This window comes from Homo sapiens, chromosome 17 (genome assembly GCF_000001405.40).
Source record: "Homo sapiens chromosome 17, GRCh38.p14 Primary Assembly".
NCBI lineage: Eukaryota > Metazoa > Chordata > Mammalia > Primates > Hominidae > Homo > Homo sapiens.
Window position 1 is genome coordinate 39,097,707 of NC_000017.11, and position 20,998 is coordinate 39,118,704.

The 20,998-nt window shown below is 52.1% G+C and overlaps 1 protein-coding gene and 1 long non-coding RNA gene across 18 annotated transcripts in view, besides 2 other annotated features; one reads left to right on the forward strand and one right to left on the reverse strand.

Annotated features, from left to right (window-relative positions):
- Positions 1-20,998, reverse strand: part of PLXDC1 (plexin domain containing 1) — an 89,655-nt gene that overhangs the window by 34,394 nt on the left and 34,263 nt on the right. For all 17 annotated transcript variants that reach the window (XM_047436434.1, XM_047436432.1, XM_047436435.1 and 14 more), the window contains 5 exons: positions 11,542-11,685; positions 11,198-11,267; positions 10,417-10,539; positions 9,701-9,819; positions 8,148-8,247 (listed from right to left, as the gene is read on the reverse strand). In XM_047436434.1, the coding sequence (XP_047292390.1) occupies positions 8,148-8,247; positions 9,701-9,819; positions 10,417-10,539; positions 11,198-11,267; positions 11,542-11,685 (556 nt within the window). The remainder of the gene's footprint in view (positions 1-8,147; positions 8,248-9,700; positions 9,820-10,416; positions 10,540-11,197; positions 11,268-11,541; positions 11,686-20,998) is intronic.
- Positions 1,241-1,842: an enhancer, noted in NCBI's record as "H3K27ac-H3K4me1 hESC enhancer chr17:37255200-37255801 (GRCh37/hg19 assembly coordinates)". NCBI's record gives its function as "activates a minimal SCP1, AML or CMV promoter by ChIP-STARR-seq in primed H9 embryonic stem cells {active_cell/tissue: H9 hESC(primed)}" and the evidence as "EXISTENCE:reporter gene assay evidence [ECO:0000049][PMID:30033119]".
- Positions 11,204-11,392: a silencer, noted in NCBI's record as "fragment chr17:37265163-37265351 (GRCh37/hg19 assembly coordinates)". NCBI's record gives its function as "represses an EF-1alpha promoter that drives an FKBP-Casp9 reporter gene in an ReSE screen in phorbol 12-myristate 13-acetate-treated (for megakaryocytic differentiation) K562 erythroleukemia cells {active_cell/tissue: K562(+PMA)}" and the evidence as "EXISTENCE:reporter gene assay evidence [ECO:0000049][PMID:32094911]".
- On the forward strand, positions 13,549-15,638 carry LOC124903995 (uncharacterized). Its single transcript, XR_007065744.1, has 2 exons — positions 13,549-14,484; positions 15,295-15,638. It is a non-coding gene; the product is annotated as an uncharacterized LOC124903995 (long non-coding RNA).

Genomic DNA, 20,998 nt, shown 5'->3' on the forward strand with positions numbered 1-20,998 from the left:
TTACAAATAATAAATAAATAAATAAATAAATAAATAAATAAATAAATAAGCTGGGCATGGTGGTACACATCTATAGTCTCAGCTACTCAGGAGGCTGAGGCAGGAGGATCGCTTAAGCCCAGAAAGTTGAGGTTGCAGTGAGCTATGATTGTGCTACTGCACTTCGGCCTGAGCGACAGAGCAAGACCCTGTCTATAAAAAAAAAAAAAAAAAAAAGGCCAGGTGCAACGGCTCACGCCTGTAATCCCGGCACTTTGGGAGGCCAAGGTGGGCGGATCACCTGAGGTCAGAGTTCAGGACCAGCCTGGCCAACATGGTGAAACCCCGTCTCTGCTAAAAAATACAAAAATTAGTCAGGCGTGGTGGCGGGCACCTATAATCACAGCTACTCCGGAGGCTGAGGCAGGAGAATTGCTTGAACCCAGGAGGTGGAGGTTGCAGTGAGCCGAGATTGCGCCATTGCACTCCAGCCTGGGCAACAAGAGTGAAACTCCATCTCAAAAAAAAAAAAAAAAAAAAAAAAAATCCGTATACAATTTTAAGATTCCCAGACTTCCTGAATTTTATGCTTGTTCCCGTAAGCTAAAAACCTCTGACAAAAAGGGATGCAATTTCCAAAACACTCAACTCCCAAACTCAAGTGGTGTCAGACCCCTGTTCTCACCTAGAGTCACAATAGAGCAGAGGACAAGGTCTATGCTATGTCCATTCCCTTCAGCGGTGCCCTAACCCCAGCAACTAGGTCCACTTTCTTGTAGTTACTCATTTTCTAAAAATGTTAGTGCCTGCCCACTGGGCTCACTGCTGGGGGCCATAGAGAGCCCCCAAGGAATTCACACCTAGCTGGGGAGGACAATAAGTTCTATGTTAAGAGTATCAGCATTTGTTCTCGCCACCACTAGAAAGAAAAGAAGAAGAAGAAAAAAGTATCAGCGAAGTGCCGGGGGGAAGAAGAGGAAGCCGTGAATTCCACTGCATGGCGGAGTGGTTACTTGCACAGCATCTGACCTGGGCCGCTGGAGAGGGAGAATGGTGCCAAGCAGTAAAAAAGATTGGAGTAAGAGGCGTTTTATACAAGGGGACTGTGTCATACCGATGTGGACAGCCCTTAGCATGTTCAGGGAACCCAGGGGACACAGACCAGAGCTCCCCAGGCAGAGGGCGGTGAGCGGAGGGAGGGTTTGGAAATGCGCCTGCGTGGTTGACTGCACCCAGCTGTGCCCGGCCTTGAATGCCACACTGAGGATTTTGACCTGACCTGTGGGCAGCAAGGAGTCAGAGAGTGATGTGATCGGATCTGATGGTGACAAGGAGGAACAGGAGACAGAGGGAAGGAGGACGAGGCTGGGAGCTGCTGGCAGTGTCTGGGGGTCAGGTGCTGGCTTTCACCTGGCAGGTAGACCCAACACCTCAGCACACAGCACCTGGAGTCAGACTCCAACCGCTCCCACCACCGAGATTTCCTCCTGATCCTGCAGAGCAGACATAGCCTCCCTGCTCTTTCAGGTGGGTTGTGCTTCCCCGCCCCCTTCACCCCTCATCTCTCTGGTTTGCTCTAAAGGGGCTTCTCATTCCAGAATCACAGAGGAGCCTCAGAGGCAGATGCTACCGGGGATCTGACCCCCTCTAATTCACCCTCATTCCACAGCTTGATCAGGCACACGTTTCCTGAGACTCTGCCTGGAAGAAGCCCTTGAGGGAGGTGCAGATGAAACAGACACATCCCTGCCCCGACAGTGGGCTCAGTAATGTACATGGGATGCAGGATAGGGAAGGAAATAAGGCACAGACACCAAGAACAGTCCCAAGAAGCAGCCTGGGGAGTTTGCACACCCCACTCTGTGGGTGTTTGGGGGAGCTGAGGAGGAAAAGATTCCCCTGGGTGGAATGGGAGTGGGTCAGTCTAAGAAAGGCTCAGTGGTGGACTCCAGGATTTAAATGGAGAAGATCTGGACTTGAATTCTTCCTTTCATAGCTGTGTGACCAAGGATAAGTCACTCTACCTCTCTGAACATTTGTGTCCTCATTTAGAAAGGGACAAATGTACAAACTCACAATGTTTGGGGAAGATCCAAGACACTGTCCAGCTTAGTGCATGGGAAAGAGGATTATAATCAGTGTGGTAGGCAGACGCTAGCATGGCCCCCAGAGAGCCTCTACGGTGGCTGCCTGGTATCCACACCCAGGTGCAATCCAGTCCCTGAGCGTAGACTGGATCTGTGACTTGGTTCTAGCCAGCGGAATGTGGCAAAAAAGATAGGATGTTACATCTAAAATTAAGCTATAAAAAGACCCTGGTTTGCGTCTTCCTCGCCCTCTGCTTTTGTCTCGCTTGCCTGCTCTGATGGAAGCCAGCTGCCATATCATGGGGAAGTTTACCAGGCAAGGAGCCAAAGAAGGCCTCCTTGGGGAACTGAATCCTGAATTCTGAATCCTGAATCCTGCCAAACCACATGAAAGCTCTGAAGCCGGTCCCAACCCTCCCCACCTGCCACCCCATCACGGGGGTAACTGTGACCCTGGCTAACACTTTTTTTCTTTTTTTTGAGACAGAGTTTCACTCTTTCACCCAGTGAAATCGTGAGTGAGTGGTGTGAGGAGTGAGGTGGTGCGATCTCAGCTCACTGCAAGCTCCGCCCCTCGGGTTCAAGCGATTCTCCTGCCTCAGCCTCCCAAGTAGCTGGGATTATAGGTACCCATCACCACACCCAGCTAACTTTTGTATTTTTAGTAAGGATGGGGTTTCGACATATTGGCCAGGCTGGTCTCAAACTCCTGACCTCAGGAGATCCCCTGCCTTGGCCTCCCAAAGAACTGAGATTATGGGCGTGAGCCACCGTGCCTGGCCGCTGGCTAACACTTCAGTCGCAGCCTGTGAAAGACCTTGAATGAGAGGTCCTGGCTGAATTGTGCTTTGCTTCCTGATCCATAAAAACTCTGAGATAATATGTTGCAGTTTTAAGCCACTAAATTCTGGAGCAATTTGTTATACAGCTGTAGCTAACTAATGCAACCAGGTGATACGGAGATGATTTAACAACTGGCTCAACACAGGCGTTTACCAACCAGTCAGAGCAGATGCTGCCTGCAGCCATGGAGCCAGGTCCTGGAGCCCAGGCTGTAATACTTGATAGAGGACTGGGAGCGCAGGGGGCTAAGGGGAGGGCAGGAGGGGTCGTGGGAGGTACGAGGGGGCTCAAATCAGCAGCAATTTGCCAACAAGAATGCAAGTATTTCAATATTTTGACAACTGATACAACTGTAGTGGGGTGCACTGACTCTCAGCCCAGGATCTAATATCTAGGGTTGGAAATGGGCCTTAAAGGATAAGGTGATATCCACAGGGCCCCATGGCATGGAGCAAGGGAAGCCACACATTGGAGCTGAAGGAAGAGTTTTCTGCTGTCGCCGCTTGTGTGCAGTTTCAAAGACTGCTCCATACACATATGGCAAAGACAGGAAAACAGCTCTACTAGCTTAAAAACAGTTCCTCGTGTAGCAGCAACATAACAGAGGCACTGAAATATCAGAAACGCGCAGAAGAGTTCAAGGCCGTGTTTGAGAAAGGGAAGGAGGGAGGGACATTCACACGTATCACGTATCGAGTAGGTGCCTGCTGTCTGACAGACACCCTGCCCGGCTTTATATCCAAGTCTAGGCCACTGGGGCACAAAGGCCTCATGAGGAGCCATGTGGTATGGGTGGCAATGAGCCACAGCATCCAGGACAGTTTTGTGGAAGAAAGGAGACAGAGGGCACGGGGCCCTAAAAAGGGAGACGGAGAAGAAGGGAAGGGAGGGTGAGGTGCGAGCCCCACACTTCTGTGGCAGGCTAGGCCTGGGGTACAGCCACCAGCCAACGGGCCCATGGATCAAGACTATAACCCACCCAAATGCTGACCAGGGAGGAGGGATTCCTTATTTGCCGCTTAGCAGTGGGCGCTTTGCCCTCAAGCCACCAGAGCCATTTGCTCCCAGAACCATAAGCCGGGACCACCCTAGTTATGCTGAGAGCTGAATTAGTCCCAAGTAGAAGCAGCAAAAACTTGACCACAAAACTCCTTTCTAGTAGCATATGCAAATCAGATGCCCCTCCACTCCGATGCCCTGCCCTCTGCCATCTCCCTCGATATCATGCAGTGTTGCGTGGGAAGGGTGTCTAGCGGCTGGCCCTACCGAGAGGTGGTATGCTTCGGGGAGCAAGTCTATGCCTGCTTACCAGCTGGGAATGCTGCAGGCAGGCAGATATTGGGAAGAAAGAATAGAAAGGGAGGTTGTAGGAAGGTGGAGGAAGAAGAAGCTGGTGAATTTCTGAAGAGGGGAAAGAACTCCTGGCCTGTTGGGAATTAACCAGGCCCCATTCACCAGCCCCTTGACCCTTGAGTGCCACCCACCCCACCCACAGATCTGCCCAGATGAAGGTGTGGACTGGGGCGAGATGCTTGGTGGGTGCTAACCAGCCTTTACTGGGCACCCCGCCCAAGCCAGGCACAGTGCCTGGTGCTCTGTGCATGGATATCTCAGCTAATCCTCACCACAGCCCTTGAGGTAGCTCGAGGCAACTCATTAGATGGTGACAGCTACAGCCCAGACCTTGCCTTGGGACACACGGCAAGCGAAAGAGTAGGTGACAGGCATGCCCACCTATGAGGAGGGTAAAGTGCCAGAGTCTCCGTGGAACCCACTTTGGCCACAGCTATCAAAATTGTAAATGCCCCTGCCCTTTGACCCAATGATTGGACCACTGAGAATATAGCGTACGGAAATACTCACACGGGGGCATGAAAGTACCTACTGTATTATTTGTTATAGCCCAAGATTTAAAACAACTGAAAAGTCTACCCCCAGGGGACAGGTTAAATTAAGGTCCATCCATGGAATGGACTATCAGGCAGCCATTAAAGAGAAGAATGAGGCAGCTCACTGTGTGCTGAGACAGAACAGTGGGCAGGATGTACTCTGTTCAAGTGCAGAAACACTGACATCGTATGCTATCAAATACACACACACACACACACACACACACACACACACACTCACTCACCTGAAGGCTTGCAGCTCTGGAGATAACCCAGAACACTGGTTTCCCCTCCCTTTGCCTCCAGGGAGGAGAGCTGAGAGATGGCGAACTGAGAGACAGGGTTCAGGGGCAGGTGAAAAACCTAATCTCTGTACATCCTTTTATATCTTTTGCATTTTAGACCAGATACACTTATTCATGAAAAAATATAACTTTATAAATGAAGATAAAGAAATGCATTAGTACTTTGGGAGGCCAAGGAGGGTGGATCACAAGGTCAGGAGATTGAGACCATCCTGGCTAACATGGTGAAACCCCATCTCTACTAAAAATACAAAAATTAGCCAGGCGTGGTGGCAGGTGCCTCTAGTCCCAGCTACTCAGGAGGCTGAGGCAGGAGAATGGCGTGAACCCGGGAGGTGGAGCTTGCAGTGAGCTGAGATCTCATCACTGCACTCCAGCCTGGGCGACACAGCGAGACTCCGTCTCAAAAAAAAAAAAAAGACATGCATTACTAAATAAGCTGGGCTCAGTGACCCAGGCCAGTAATCCCAGCACATTGGGCACTGGGAGGCTTGCAGGGGAGGTTAAGTTGAGCCCAGGAGTTTGAGACCACCCCAGGCAACATGGGAAAACCCTGTCCATCTCTCCAAAAAAAAATTTAAAAATTAGTTGGGCATGGTGGCATGTGCCTGTGGCCCCAGCTTCTTGGGAGGCTGAGGTGGGAGGATGGCTTGAGCCCAAGTGTTTGAGGCCGCAATGAACTATGATGGGGACACTGCGCTCCAGCCTGAGACCCTGTCTCTAATAATAATAATAATAATGAATAGTAATTCATGGCTGGGCGCGGTGGCTGACTCCTGTAATCCCAGCACTTTGGGAGACCGAGGCAGGCAGATCACCTGAGGTCAGGAGTTTGAGACCAGCCTGGACAACATGGTGAAACCCTGTCTTTACTAAAAATACAAAAATCAGCCAGGCGTGGTGGCCGGCGCCTGTAATCCCAGCTACTCAGGAGGCTGAGGCAGGAGAATCACTCGAACCCGGGAGGCAAAGGTTGCAGTGAGCCAAGATCGTGCCACTGCACTCCAGCCTGGGCAACAGAGCGAGACTCTGTCTCAAAAAAAAAAAAAAAAAGAATAGTAATTCATGGAAATGGCAAAAATCTCAAAGAGGGATGTGCAAACAAGTAAAGGTAGGGAAACTCTGCGCCACTATAGCATGTGACTTTTTGTCCCTAGTCACAAAAGCTGCATGAAAGTGTGAAAGTGCTGTGGCGGCATCTGACCTGCGACACCAGCATGAGGACACTGCTTGTTCCTAGTCCTGCACTGTTCGCTACAGAACAAGGTGTCCTGCTGGATTATAAAATGCTGAGTTTTAAAGTCTACTGTAGTGAGATATTCTTATACCGGACTCACAGACCTGATGTGCCAGACATTAGGCCCAACACTTTACATACACTATCGCCTGCGTGTTTGCAGCAGCTGTAGGGGCAAAGTATCACTCTTATCCCTATTTTACAGATAAAGAAATAAACGCAGAGAGGTTGAGTGACTCACCAGAGGTCAGATGCTTGTGGAAAGTGTGGACTCCAGCTCAGGCTTCCAGTTCCAGAGCTGAGCCCCTAACACTCCACTGAACTTTGCATATAGAAGGTACTGGGTAAGGCCTTTTAACTAAGCCCTGGTCCTTTCCTTCAGATTAAAAAAAAAATAGATTAAAGGCCCCATTGTTCCCCAACCCTTAACATTTCTGTTAAAGACAGAGGTTTGGGGTGGGGCATGGGGGCTGACGTCTGTAATCCCAGCACTTTGGGATGCCAAGATGGGAGGATCGTGTGAGTTCAGGAGTTTGAGACAAGCCTGGGAAACATAGCAAGGCCCTGTCTCTACAAAAAATAACAAAATTAGCCAGGCATGGTGGCATGTGCCTGTGGTCCCAGCTACTCGGGAGGCTGAGGTGGGAGGATCACTTGAACCTGGGAGGTGGAGGCTGCAGTGGGTAGAAATTGCACTACTGCATTCATCCTGAATGACAGAGCAAGACTTTGTTTAAAAAAAAAAAGGCTGTGCTCAGATACTGAATGCCTCAAGGGCAGATGCCCTTCCTCTTCACTGTATCTCAACAGTGCCTGGAACATAGTGGCCCAGTGTGTAAGCAGGAACTCAGAACACGTGTACTGATGGAACCGAACAGAAATAGGCAATGATGCCTCCCCCGGGAAGCCCTGATTTCACAGAACGGCGGTACCTTGCCCTTCTACAGGAAGGTGACTTGGGGGCTCCCAAGCGTGTCCTTCCGTCCAGCCTGGCATGGCAAGAGTGGAGTTGAGAATGCCCCCAGGCCCCATCAAAGCCCAGGTGGGGTGGGAAGGGCAGACAAAGGCTCCTCCCCAGACCTCCCGGGGTCCTACATGGCAGAACTTGTGCATACGGCTCAGCAGAAGAGGTCAGGTTAAAAAGTCTCTGAGACAAGGGTCTAGAAGGAGCGGCAGTGCATGGGATGCCTGCCGCGCTCCCCAGGAGTACAAATCCAAGACCCTCGTGAGCACGCAATGGGGGTCGGGAGCAGGGGAGAAAGAGCTATGACCTCCTAAAATGTCAGCACTGGAGGAGGGCCTGGGAGGGAGAAGCACTCCTTCAGCTACTATCCCATTTTGTAGATGAGGCAACTGAGGCTAGAGAGATGATGTGGTTTGCTGAAGGACAGGGAGGTAACAGCATGGCCGAGGCTGGATTCCTGTCTCCTGGCATCCTATGATGCTCCCTTTATCACCTGGAGTGGGAAGGCCACAATGGTTGTATTCTGGGAGGACTCAAACCCCTTACTAGGGCATCTTTGGAGGTTTTCTACATAGAACAGGGGCTGAGTGGAAGGGCTGTGGCTCCCTTTCACCTTAACAACCAGAGCAGTGCCTCCCATTGGAGATTTTGCTGGAGAAAATGGTCCCTCTGCTATAACAAAGAAAAGCTGGAAGTCACTGGGCATCCTTTCCTGCCTGGTTTCCCTCTCAACTCTCTGCCCCTTGTCTACTCCCTGCCACTGCCATCCCCCCAGCAGCTCAGGTTCAGTCTGAGCGGAGTCCTACCCCCATCAAGGCCTCTGCGGGGTCCCTGAAGACTCACCTGGCACATCCGGGGATGGATTGAGAATCATGAAGGCATCCGATAGGCCGGTTTTGACAGGATGCTGGGAGGAGCTGATTTCCGGGACAGACATAGGGATCTGCGGCAGGGAGAAGAGACTCCGTCCACCTCCCAAACGCTCTGGGGCCCACCCAGCCCTCCCCTGTGAGCTCCAGACCCATCTTTCTGGATGGCACCACCTCCTGGAGGACTCCAAGACATTGGAAGCCCAGTGGGACCCCACCCAAATTCCAAGTCCTCTCCACACCACCTCCAAGCACATTTTCTTCTTTCCTCTGTCTCGGTGAATGGCACTCCATGCAGGCCGGAAACCCGGGACATACCCTTTTCCCTTCCCTTTCTTTCATTTCTTCCCTTCCCCATCTAATGCATCTCCGAATTCTGTTGCTTAACCTGCTAAGTGGCTCTCAAATCTGTCTGTTTTCCATTTCCCCTCATCCTACTCTAAGCTGCTGTCACCCTTCTCCTAAATTACTTCCCAGTATTCCCTCTAAGCCCCCAACAACCTGTTCTCCACTCTGAAGCCAGAGTGACTTTTCTCAAGGGCAAATCTGTGGTTCCCTTGCCCTGTCCTGCCCCTCACTCTCTCCCTTCCAACCATGCTGCCTTCTTCTATTTTTTTTTTAATAGAGGTGTGTGTCTCACTATGTTCTCCAGACTGGTCTTGAACTTCTGGGTTAAAGCAATCTTCCCGCCTCAGTCTCCCAAAGCGCTGGGGTTATGAGCCACCACCCTGGCTCATCATGCTGCCTTCTTTTTTCTTTTTTCTTTTTCTTTCTTTTTTTTTTTTTTTGAGACAGATTCTCACTCTGTTGCCCAGGCTGGAGTGCAGTGGCACGATCTCAGCTCACTGCAACCTCCAACTCCTGGGTTCAAGCGATTCTCCTGCCTCAGCCTCCTGAGTAGCTGAGATTACAGGTGCCTGCCACCACGTCCGGCTAAATTTTTTGTATTTTTAGTAGAGATGGGGTTTCATCATGTTGGCCAGGCTGGTCTCGAACTCCTGAGCTCTGATGATCCACCCACCTCAGCCTCCCAAAGTGCTGGGTTTGCAGGTGTGAGCCACCGCACCTGGCCCATGCTGCCTTCTTTCAGTGCTTTGTGCCAGCCGTGCTCTGTCCTGCCTCAGGACTTTTGCATGTGCTGTGTGCTGTTGTCTCTCCTAGAACATACTTCACTCTCCTCTTTGCTTCCTGAACTCGTATTTATCCTTCAGATTTCAACTCTTTTCCTCAGCAAAGCCTCCCCTGGCCTCTGCCAAGGTTAAGAGGTCTGTGAAAGGCTCAGCTAGCACCAGGCACCTCTACTTGGGAGCGCTTGTCACAGTGGTGATTCTACATTTGTCCCTGTAATTATTGTCCACCTCCGCAACCAGACTTACTGCTCCAAAAGGGTAGGACCCGCAAACATCTTGTTAACTGCTGTATTACCAGCAGCAAGCCCCATGCCTGGCACATTGCAAATTCTCTAAATATTTGCTGAATGAAGAAAGGCTCCAAGACCCAGCTGTCTCTGCAGCTGGGCCCACTCACCTCTTTATAGGCAAAGACAATGCGGCCGTCATGGTGCAGAGCTGCCTGGAAGGTGAAACTGCCCTTGTCTTCCCAGCCTTGGAGATAAACGTGGTCCCACTGAACCACAAAGACTGTCCCTGGGGAGAAGAACAGAGACCCGGCTGGACGGGAGATCATGCAAGGAGCAGGGCCCTACAGAAATGCCAGTCGGAGGGCAGCGGCCACAGGTTGGGTCCCTTCGGGATGATGGGGAAGTTTGCAAAGGTAAGGAGGCAGGAGCTGGGCAGCTCACTAAAGCAGCGCGGCTTCCAAGCAGCAGAGGAGCCAGAAGATCCTGCTTCAGCCCCAGATACTGTACTTGATCATCTCTTTCCCTTTCCTTCTTGTCTATTCTGACTCCTTGAGATAAAAGAAGGAGGAATGTCTGTTCTCCTGGATTCAGACGGGGCTCAAGGGACATCCTGGTGAATGTAAGTAACAATAAAGGCCCCTAACATTTATTTTACCTCGACTAAGAGCCAAGCACTGTCGTTTTGTTATCTCATCAGATTCTTCTGGGTAGCAGGCATTTTTGCCCCTATCTGACAGGTCAGGAAACTGAGCAGAGAAAGGTAGGTGGCTGCTTTGCCGTGGGACTGTGGGACCCTTGCCCTCTCTAGGCCCTGTGCTCCTCTAAAGGACTGGACAAGGGATCCCTGGAGCTGGGTGACTTAAATTCTGAGATCCAGTCTCACCATTGTCAAAGTAAACAACTGTGGAGTTGTCGGAGTAGCCAGGGTTGAAGTTGGCCATCAGGGGCGCCACATACTGAGTAGCTGTGAGCATCCGATGGATCACGTCCCCCATGAAGATGAAGCCTAGGGTGGGAGAGGTGCAGAGGAGTCACCAGAAATGGCCCAGAGGGGCCGCTTTGGGGGCCTTTTCCCCAAGGGCAAGAAGGGCAGCGCAGGCAGAGCTGGAAGTGAGCCTGAGACCTCTGTCGCCCATCCCCATCTGGCGGGCTCTGGGTCTGGTGTGTATGGAGCCAAAGGACCCCAGATAGGAGAAGGTCCTCCCTGTCCCTTCAGCAGGGCACAGACTATAGGGCGAGGGGGCAGGAAGAGGAGAGGACTCACAGCTTTCCCCATCCCTGGGGAAGTGGGATGTGGAACTGAAGTGCAGGGATTAAAGACAGGTGCCTCCTATCAACAGGGAGCCTGGCCCCAGGAGCCCAAGCTCTCAGTGGAGTCTCCCTCTCCCTCTTATTCAGCAACTCCGGGACACAGGGCTGTCCACACTGACTCGTGCTGGCCCGAGGAGACACACACGTGCAGGCACATGAGCAGGTCAGCTAATGCAAGGGAGATGCTCTGACGTCCACTGACCCCCCTCCTGAGAATCAGACTCCTATTAGAGCCAAATGTGCCTTCCTCCCATTTCATATAACCCTGTCTCCAGTGAGCCACCCCTGGGAGGGCCCCTGAGTTCGGGCTGAGGTCTCCAGACTCTCCCCGGGGCCCCACGACGTGGCCTTACCTCCAGTTGCTATGGTGATCTGCCGCAGAGGATGCCCGTAGAAAGGGAAATCAAAGGACAAGACCACTCTCTGCAGGGGATGGGAGAAAGTCAGCACGGGCCAAGCTGCAGGCCAGGGGCCTGGGCACCCACACTGCCTCATGCTTGTTTGGACAGAGTGGGGAGCAGGCATGCCCAGGGCCACTGCTGGGCACCCCAACTCTGGCAAAGTCCCATGGGAACCCCTGGAAGGTACCTCCCAGGTCACAGACCTCGGGCCACAGCCATGCCCACTGACCAGGCAGGGTGGTTTGGCCCCCGGCCTCCCAGCACAGGGAAGCATGGCTGGCGACTGGGGCACTCACCGAAGCCTGCCGGTGGGTGTTGGAGAGTATTGTGTGGATCTTCACTTGGCTCCGGTTGGCCTCGGCCACATCTACCCACAGTTCCCGGCTGTGGGGCTCGCTGGGGCCATAGAGACGGGACACATAATAGCTGTGGTTGTCCTCCTGCCGGCACCCAAGATAAAGCCCACAGGAGGTGTGAGTAGTCAGCATGCCAGGACTGACTCTCCGCCCTTCCCCACTCAGATTTCTGGGTACAGGAAGTCACCACCCTCCCAGGGTGCTGGACCTGTGGCCCCAAGGGCTGATTTAGGCCTAGGACCCCCTGGACTCCCCCTTGGCCCCAGACAGCTCACTAGCTGGCCCCTAGTGGTGCCCCAACAGGCCTGGCCACAGCCAAATCCACGCCTGCTGCCCTCATGCTCAGCCCTCCTGTTCCCAGACAAGCCAGGAGGCCGGCAGCCCCTGCATCCCTTCAGACCAGGACCAAGGCTGAGCTTGGCATGGGGCATAAGGGAGGAACAGACAGGATGGCCTCAAACCGGGCCCTTGTTTTCAGGGAGCTCCCAGGCCGAGGGAGAGTCATAGTCCCTGCCCTGGAAGAGTACCCTATTTAATGGAAAAGGAAAATCTGGGCTGGACGCGGTGGCTCGCGCCTGTAATCCCAGCACTTTGGGAGGCCGAGGCGGGCGGATCACGGGAGGTCAGGAGTTCGAGACCAGCCTGGACAAAACAGCGAAACCTCGTCTTTACTAAATATACAAAAATTAGTGTGGCCTGGTGGCACACGCCTGTAATCCCAGCTACTTGGGAGGCTGAGGCACAAGAATCACTTGAACTCGGGAGCCGAGATCGCGCCACTGCACTCCAGCCTGGGCGACAGAGCGAGACTCTGTCTCAAAAGAAGGAGAAAAATCTGGATCTTAGAAGGCACCAGTCTAAAGGAGGAGGCTGCCTCTTGGTCCTGGGGAGTTTCCAGTCTGGAATGGGACTTATATAAACAGAGGAGCAGACACAGACCCTCAAGCAGAGCTAATACAGAACCCAGAGTCCACACAGCATCACCAGGGTGGTGGGAAGGGGAGAGAAGCAGCAAGGATTCCTTCGAGGCATATCTTTGAGCCTTTGCTGTGTGCCTGATGGAGATGAAATAAAGAAGTTAGAATGCTATGGGCTGGGGGTTCATTCTGCAAAGGCTCTCCTGCAGAGGAGCACTTGGGCCAGGGTTCAAAGGAGGCCAGGGAAATGGTTGGCAGAAAGACTTAAGAGCCAGAGAGGGGCGATGTGGAAGCCCTTCCTGGAGCCGACCCAAGAGCACCAGCCGCAGGAGGAATGGAGGCAGGGCAGGCAGGTTCCCTTGGCAGCCACCGCCACAGAGGTGGGGCCGCTGACCTGTGAGGAGCCCTGGGTCATTAATCAGGCTGCCCAGCGGTGGTGGCGGCAGACACAGCAGAGTAAACGACATTCTCCCTGCCAGGCTGCCAGCTGCCCAGCCGGCCCTTGCCCTGGGCGCAGCGTGAGCAGGGACAAGGGGTTCCTGCACTCCTCACCTGCCAGAAGGCACTCTGCTCTTACGATAAGCGACACAATCTGGAGACCTGGGGTTGGGGCAGGCTGGGGGACGATGAGCGGAAGAAGCATGGTTGGTTGGTGTCGGGGGCTATTCCCTCTGCCACTGCCCTCCCTTCCTGCCTCCAGACAGCCCATGCCTCCACCCATCCTCAGCACGGCAGTCAAACCAATCAAAAACACCTTGCTCTGTTCACAGGCTATCCAGGGCTCCCTGAAGACACTGTCCTCGAGACGAAAACCAAAGCTCTTAGGCTGGCATGCAAGATCCCACCATCAGCCAGCCCCAGCCTCTCTCTAGCTCCTTCTCTCTCCTCTCACCACCTTGTGCATCCTTGTGTGCCCACCCCCCAGACCAGACTCCCCTGACAGCCTCAAGCCACCAATGGTCACTCGTGCCACTGCCCACGCTGGTCCTCCTGTCTGGAATGGCCACCCTCGCCTTCTCCCCTTGACAGATTCCTGGTCATTCAACACTCGGCTTAAACTCTGCCTTCTTTTATTGTTGAGACAGAGTCTCGTTCTGTCGCCCAAGCTGGAGTGCCATGGCATGGCCTCGGCTCACTGCAACCTCCGTCTCCCGGGTTCAAGCGATTCTCGTGCCTTAGCCTCCCAAGTAGCTGGGATTACAGGCACACGCCTCCACGCCCAGCAAATTTTTGTATTTTTAGTGGAGACGGGGTTTTACCATGTTGGCCAGGCTGGTCTCAAACTCCTGACCTCAAGTGATCCACCCACCTGGGCCTCCCAAGGTGCTGGGATTACAGGTGTGAGCCACTGCGCCTAGCCAAACCCTGCCTTCTTATCAGCCTTTCACCCCTACCTCCCCAATGAGGACCTCCACCCCCTGCAAGTGGCCTCCACCATCCCTTATTTCAGGGAGTCCTCAAGGGGTGACTCATGTGTACTATTTGCAAGAGTTACATGGGGCCACTCTTGTTGGATTCTTGGTTTTACTCACAAAGCCACCTGGTAGGGGGGCTGCCCTGATGCCACGGCCCCTGGGGTGAGGGCTAAGGATGCTGCTTCCCATTGCTGCCACAGCCACCAGCCCTGGAGTCTCGGGAGGGTACCCAGAGGGGGACGCACTGCTCTCCAGCTCTGCCCACAGGCACTGAAGCCACTGCTTCTGCCCAGAGCTCTTAGCCTCCCTCGGGAAAGCAGCTCCCTCTGTTTCTGCCCCTTTCCCCATCCTCCAGGAGAACTAATGCTTCATGTTTTTCCTTGGTGTCTGTCTCTCCTATTTCCACCCATCTCTGCTGGAGACCCCTATCTCAATTTTTAAAAAAATCACCCATCAAGAAACAAAGCTCCGTGCGTGGCACTCTGTGCAGAGAGATCTGCACAAAGGAAGAGTCCGATGGCCGCCTCCCAGCCTGCTTCCTGGATTCACAGGTGAGCAGTTTTTATTCCACTTCCAAGCAAAAAAAATATAGGGGGCCCTGCCCAACACTGTACATCTGATAGTCTGTAGGACTCCAACTCTGAAGCTGGTTATGGTTCACCTGGGACCACCTGCCACGGCCGTAGCTACAGCCTGCCCTCTTCCCCCCAGTTCAAACAAAAAAGTGGCTTATTAAGAGACATCAGTTAGCCTAAAATTTTGCCTGAAGAAAGGAAACCAAGTTTAGATGCTATTCAGCCCATCTTTTTTTTTCTTTCTTTTTTTTTTTTTTTTTTGAGACGGAGTCTTGCTCTGTCGCCCAGGCTGGAGTGCAGTGGTGCGATCTCAGCTCACTGCAATCTCTACCTCCTGGGTTCAGGCAATTATTATGCCTCAGCCTCCCAAGTAACTGGGATTACAGGTGTGCGCCACCATGCCCAGCCCAGCCCATCATTTAAATGTTTGTTTGCCCCTGAACTACGAGCCCCTGACACGCAGGGATGGGCAAGGTCACCTCTGTGCCTATGGCTCAAGGTCCCTCACTTCCTCCATGCTTAGGAAGTGTTTGCTGGAGGTGGGGGTAGGGGGACTGGTGCTTTGCAATGTGTTAAAATTAGGGAAATAAACCTGCCTCCCTAAATCCTGGGCTATCTTATGATCTGTGGGTGAGGGGAAAACGAGTGGCCCACCTTAGCCCAGCCAGCACCAGATAGCCTTTCCATCCTTTTGCATGCTGTAGTGAGTTTCAACTGTGTTACCCAAAACGATATGTTCAAGTGTGAACCTCTGGTACCTATGAATGTGACTTTATTTGGAAATAGTCTTTGCAGATGAAACAAGTCAAGATGAAGGCAGACCGGATTAGGGTGGGCCCTAAATCCAATGACCGGTGTCTTTATGTAAACGAAGAGGGAGATGTGGATACAGAGTCGCAGAGGAGACACAGGGAGGATCCCTGTCACAATGAAGGCAGAGATTAGAGTGACGCTGTTTACAAACCAAGGACACCAAGGATTTCCAGGAGATCCAGAAGCTAGGACAAGACAAGGAAGGCTCCTTTCCCAGGGCCTTGAGAGGGAGCGTGGCCCTGCTGACACCTTAATTTCAGACTTCTGGCCTCCAGAACTGCAAGTGAATAAATTTCTGTTGTTTTCAGCTACCAAAATTGTGGTAATTTGTTCTGGCAGCCCTAGGAAATGAATATCTGTGCCACAGGTGTGTGTTACTGTGGCCCAGTTGGGACAACCTGAAATTGTTTTCCCTGTTCCACATCATCCCCTTGCTTAGGCCATTCTGTGGCTCCCCAGTTGCACTCAGAACAAAGGTTACGCCCCTTCCGCCATTCCCTTCTCTTCTTTACTAATAGAAAATTGATTTTGGATTGAGCACAGTGGTTCATGCCTGTAATCCTAGCACTTTGAGAGGACGAGGCTGGAGGATCACTTGAGGCCAGGAGTTCAAGACCAGCCTGGGCAACATAGTGAGACCCTGTCTCTACAAAAAATACAATAAAATAAAACAATTCACTGGGTATGGTGGTGCATGCCTGTAGTCCCAGCAACTCAGGAGGCTGAGGCAGGAGGATCCCTTAAGCCCAGGAGGTCGAGGCTGCAGGGAGCTGTGATTGAGCCACTGCACTCAGCCTGAGTGACACAGTGAGACTCTGTCTCAAAAAAAAAAAAAGATTGATTCTGTAGCAACCAGCAATGATGTAGCCATCTAATAAACCTCATTCCCTGGATGTCTTAAGGATTACCATGTGACACAGGCTGGCTCATGACATCAGCTGAAGGTTCTAGTGGAACCTTCTGAAAGAGATCAAATTTGACTGCTTGTCCCTCTTATCTTTGCCCTTCTTCTTCCTGCCTGGAATGCAGACATGATGGCTGGAGTTCCAACAGCCATCTTGTGAGTATAAGGACAAGAGCCACACCCTAAGGATGGTGAAGTGGACAACTAGATGGAGACTTGGTCCCTGATGACATGCTAGAGGGCTGCTTCTTAAGTCCCTGGGTTTAGCTCTCTGTTAAACGGAAACACAAATCCTTCCCCACGTGTGGTGGTCTGGCCCCAACTCAGCACCTCCTCCTCTCCCCTGCTCTCTTGTTCTGGGAATCACCACACAGTTGTCTGCCTCAGGACCTTGGTGCCGCCTGTGCCTCAAAATTTCTTCCCTTCCCTGTTCAGGAGCTGACCCTTCCTCACCTATCCAGCCTCAGCTCAGGAGTCACTTCCTCAAGAAAGCCTCTCTGATTCCCTGTTGCATTCCCATCACACCCTGTGCTTCTTTCTCCTGGTGTTTTGCACACTTGTGACAATTTACTTGGATTTTATACACATCTTCATGTCTGCCTTTCCTGTAAGATCGTAAGACCCCAAGAGTAAGGTCAGCCTTTATTTATCGTGTTTAAGCACAGAGTATGTGTTCAATGGAGGATTTGTTGAGCAAAGAATGACCACAAATTATAGCTGCCTGTTTTACAGGTACCACTACATATTCTGAAGTCCAGGATAGGATCATTTTACCAAACAAAGCAGGACAGCTGCAGATGCTAAACAGGTGCTCTCAGGTAAGTCTCAGAGTCAACTGAATACAGCTTCCACCTGGGAACCTGAGCGGGCCAGTGTTTAAGACGGTTGCTTTGAGGCTCGGAGAAAGGTCTGGTTTCAATCAGCCTGCTTCCTGGGCCCCGCACAGCGAGAGCTTTCCCCAAACCTCCGGGCGTCTGAAATGAGTGCCCGGGACAGAAGCCACGCTCTGCAGTTGTGAAGCCCAAACAGATGCTGACGTGTCTCTTGCCGCCTCAGCTAAGACTGCAAAGCGTGAGCTTCCTGGGAATGCATCTTCCTGGCCCGTTGCTCGGAGTTCTCTGCTTCACAGCAAAGACAAGCAGTCTGATCCAAACTAGTGCTGTTCTGCAGAGAAACCAGGCCCTGTGTCACGTGCCTCAGCTCTGACACCTGGATGATCCCTGGACTCATTCTTGGAGTTCCCGATGACCCCTGCAATGGCACCTCTTAACTGACAGAAAACTTCCATCTATTCTGACTCAAGGAAAGTCAGAAATGAAACGAGCTGCTGCCTCTAACTCCTAAGCTGATTCTCTCCAATGAGTCAGCAGATCCCAGGGAAGGCAAGAGCCTCGAAGCCTAACGATGCCCTACTCAGGCCAGCGAGGGTGAGGCCAAGCTCTGCTTCAGGCCTCAGAAGTGCCAAGTACAGCTGGCCTGCCAGGGGGAGGACTGGCTCAAGGGCAATGCCATGCAGAATCTGCTGCAGGTCCCAAACAGGCCCAACAGACTGCCCTCCTGGCACACCTGACTTTTATTACTCCAGGACAGTGAAGCCAGGAGCCATATCTACTCAGCTCTGGCTGAGGGTGGCCACACAGTGATGGGTGAGGCCAAATTGCACCCTGGAGGGAGGGGGCGACTTGCAGGGGGATCACTCCTGGGCAGAGCCAAGCACAAAGCCTGCAGGGGAGCATTTGGGAGCGTGGGAGGAAGGAGAAGGGAAGCTGGCATTTGCTGAGTGGTGATGGGAGAGTGCTGGGCATTTCATATTTGTTACTGCAGGGCAACCCTAGGAGGTGAGCACTAATATTAGTCCCATTTTCTCAGTGGGGAAACTGAGACTAGAAATCATGTAACTAGGCCAGGCATGGTGGCTCATGCCTGTAATCCCAGCACTTTGGGAGGCTGAGACAGGGCGGATCACCTGATGTCCGGAGTTCAAGACCAGCCTGGCCAACATGGTGAAACCCATCTCTACTAAAAATACAAAAATTAGCTGGGTGTGGTGGCGCATGCCTGTAATCCCAGCTACTGGGGAGGCTGAGGCAGTATATTCAATTGCTTGAATCCAGGAGTGGAGGTTGCTGTGAGCCGAGATTGCGCCACTGCACTCCAGCCTGGGTGACACAGTGAGACTCCGTCTCAAAAAAACAAAAAATAAAAAGAAATAATGTAACTGTATGAAACCAGGTCAGTTCCACTCAAAGACAGTGACCTTTCCTCTATCCACTGTCTCTGAGATCTTTAAGCAACAGCTCTCCGGGAAGGTGACTTAGGCTACCTACCAGTCATTGGTTAAACTCTCAATCAGAAGGACCACTGTCTGGAGGCTGGAGCTCAGGGATGGTGGCACATTCATCTCCGCCCCCAGCACCTCCCTAGCGCAGGGGTTGGCACCTGGCATCTGGTGGGTGTTCAGCATCTGCTTGCCAAATGAGCTGAATCACAAGGATTCTGCAGCCAATGGTGTCAAGACTGTGCTGAGAATGTGCAGTGTGGCTCTGACAAGGACAGCATCCTCCCCCATCTCCAGTGGCAGGTGACACAAAAGCCACTTGTGGAGGAACCAGCTGCCTCCTCTGGGAATCCAAGCCCACAGACAGCATTCCCAAACCTGGGACATCCTGGACACAGGAAGGTGTCTCTGGATTCCTCAATTTCTTCTCTGAGGAAGTAAAGCCAACAAGGCAGATACCTTCGGGGGCAAGGAAGAGAAACCCAGCTTCAACACGGAGGACATGTGTTAGACCAAGCGTCTGAGAGCCTGGCAGCAGGCATGGAACATGGATGATCCTCGTGTCATCAGGACATTGTCCTAAGTGTGACTGCCTCCTGGTCCAAAGAGGGCTGCCTATAGCCACTGAGGCAGCATGCTTCCTTGTCGGGTTCAAAAGGAGAAACCTCGCACCAAGAGTGGAACACAAGATCTTCCCTTCAGTCTGATGTGGCCCCCGATTATTACAAGGGCCAGGGCGTGCCAGATTGGTTAAACCAGTCTACTTCCCCCAGGAACTGGGGATCATGGCTCCGCTAGGAATGGGGAATGGAAGCTGGGTGAGCAAAGGCCTGACATCAGGGTTGACGGGGAATGTGGCTCAATGACCAAGACCAAGCTCTTTCAGTCTTTCTTCTCTGCCACTTTCAGTGTGGGCTTCATTGTAAGGCTAGGCATCTTGTAGTGACGGGATGGCAGACAGTGGCAACTAGCCCTGGCTCATGGAAGCAAGACAGGCACAGCACACCTCTCCCCGACCACTGAATGAACACGTGTGCTTCAAGATGGCAGGGTCAACCTGGGTCCCCTGCCACCTCTGGACTAGGAAGCCCTAGATGCTAAACAGCTTCCACCTAAACCAAACACCAGCTGGGGGGTAGGATTATCATGGAACCCAAGATCCCATTCCTATTGTACAAGGCTGTAAGGTAAAATATATGTTGAAAAGTCAACCGCAATGTCCACTTGCCATCTGAATCCAACCAATGAACCAGTACTCTCAAAAGACAAGAAGCACTTTGGGAGGCTGAGGCAGAAACATCGCTTGAATCCAGGAGTTCAAGACCAGCTTGGGCAACATAGTGAGACCCTCCCCCCAAGTCTACAAAAAAAAAAATGCAAAAATTAGCTGGGCATGGTGGCATGCACCTGTAGTCCCAGCTACTTGTGAGGCTGGGGCAGGAGGATTGCCTGATCCCAAGGGATCAAAGCTGCAGTAAGCCATGATCATGCCACTGCATTCCAGCCTGGGCAACAGAGCAAGACATTGTCACAAAACAAAACCAAGAGACATGCCTTTTACTTTCTGGAAGCAGAGCTGAGTAAAGGGTTTGATTGGCCAGCATCCTCCAATCTGTCCACATGCCCAGGGAGGTGCAACAGTTCTGCCAACCACTCAGGCCTTGTGGAATGAAAAAGAAGAGACTTCAGCTGGGGCAGGGCTGCTCCATTGCCTGTATTGATTGTCTCCATCCAGTTCTTTATGAGGCCAGAGTTTACCCAGGTTCCTCAGGGCTGAGCATCAGTGATGCAATGAAAGCTATTGCCACCTACCCGCGGCGTTCTAGAGCCAGTCCTTTTAGTCTAGAATTCCTTCCCTCCCTCCCTCCCTCCCTCCCTTCCTTCCTTCCTTCCTTCCTTCCTCTCTCTCTCTCAATCTCTTCCTTCCTTCCTCTCAATCTCTTCCTTCCTTTCTCTTTCTTTCTTTCTCTCTCTGTCTGTCTGTCTCTCTCTCTTTTCTTTTCTTCTTTTTTGAGATGGAGTTTCGTTCTTGTCGCCCAGGCTGGAGTGCAATGGTGAGATCTGGGCTACTGCAACCTCTGCTTCCTGGGATCAAGCGATTCTCCTGCCTCACCCTCCAGAGTCTCTGGGATTACAGGTGCATACCACCACACCCAGCTAATTTTGTATTTTTAATAGAGACAGGGGTTTTACCATGTTGGCCAGGCTGTTCTTGAACTCCTGACCTCAGGTGATCCACCCACCTTGGTCTCCCAAAGTGCTGGGATTACAAGCATGAGCCACCATGTCCGCCTAGTCTACAATTTCTGATGCTCCTGAAACATCAATGTTGTATGGAGCCCTGCTAACTAAAATTTCAGGTGTGACATTATATTTTAAATAATATCCTTGTACCAGACATGTTTTAGGATGCTCCATCCCCATCCCAATGACGTTTGCCCCCAGACCCGTAGGCCCTGCTGAGTTGACTACACCCATCACAGTCTCCTACATGA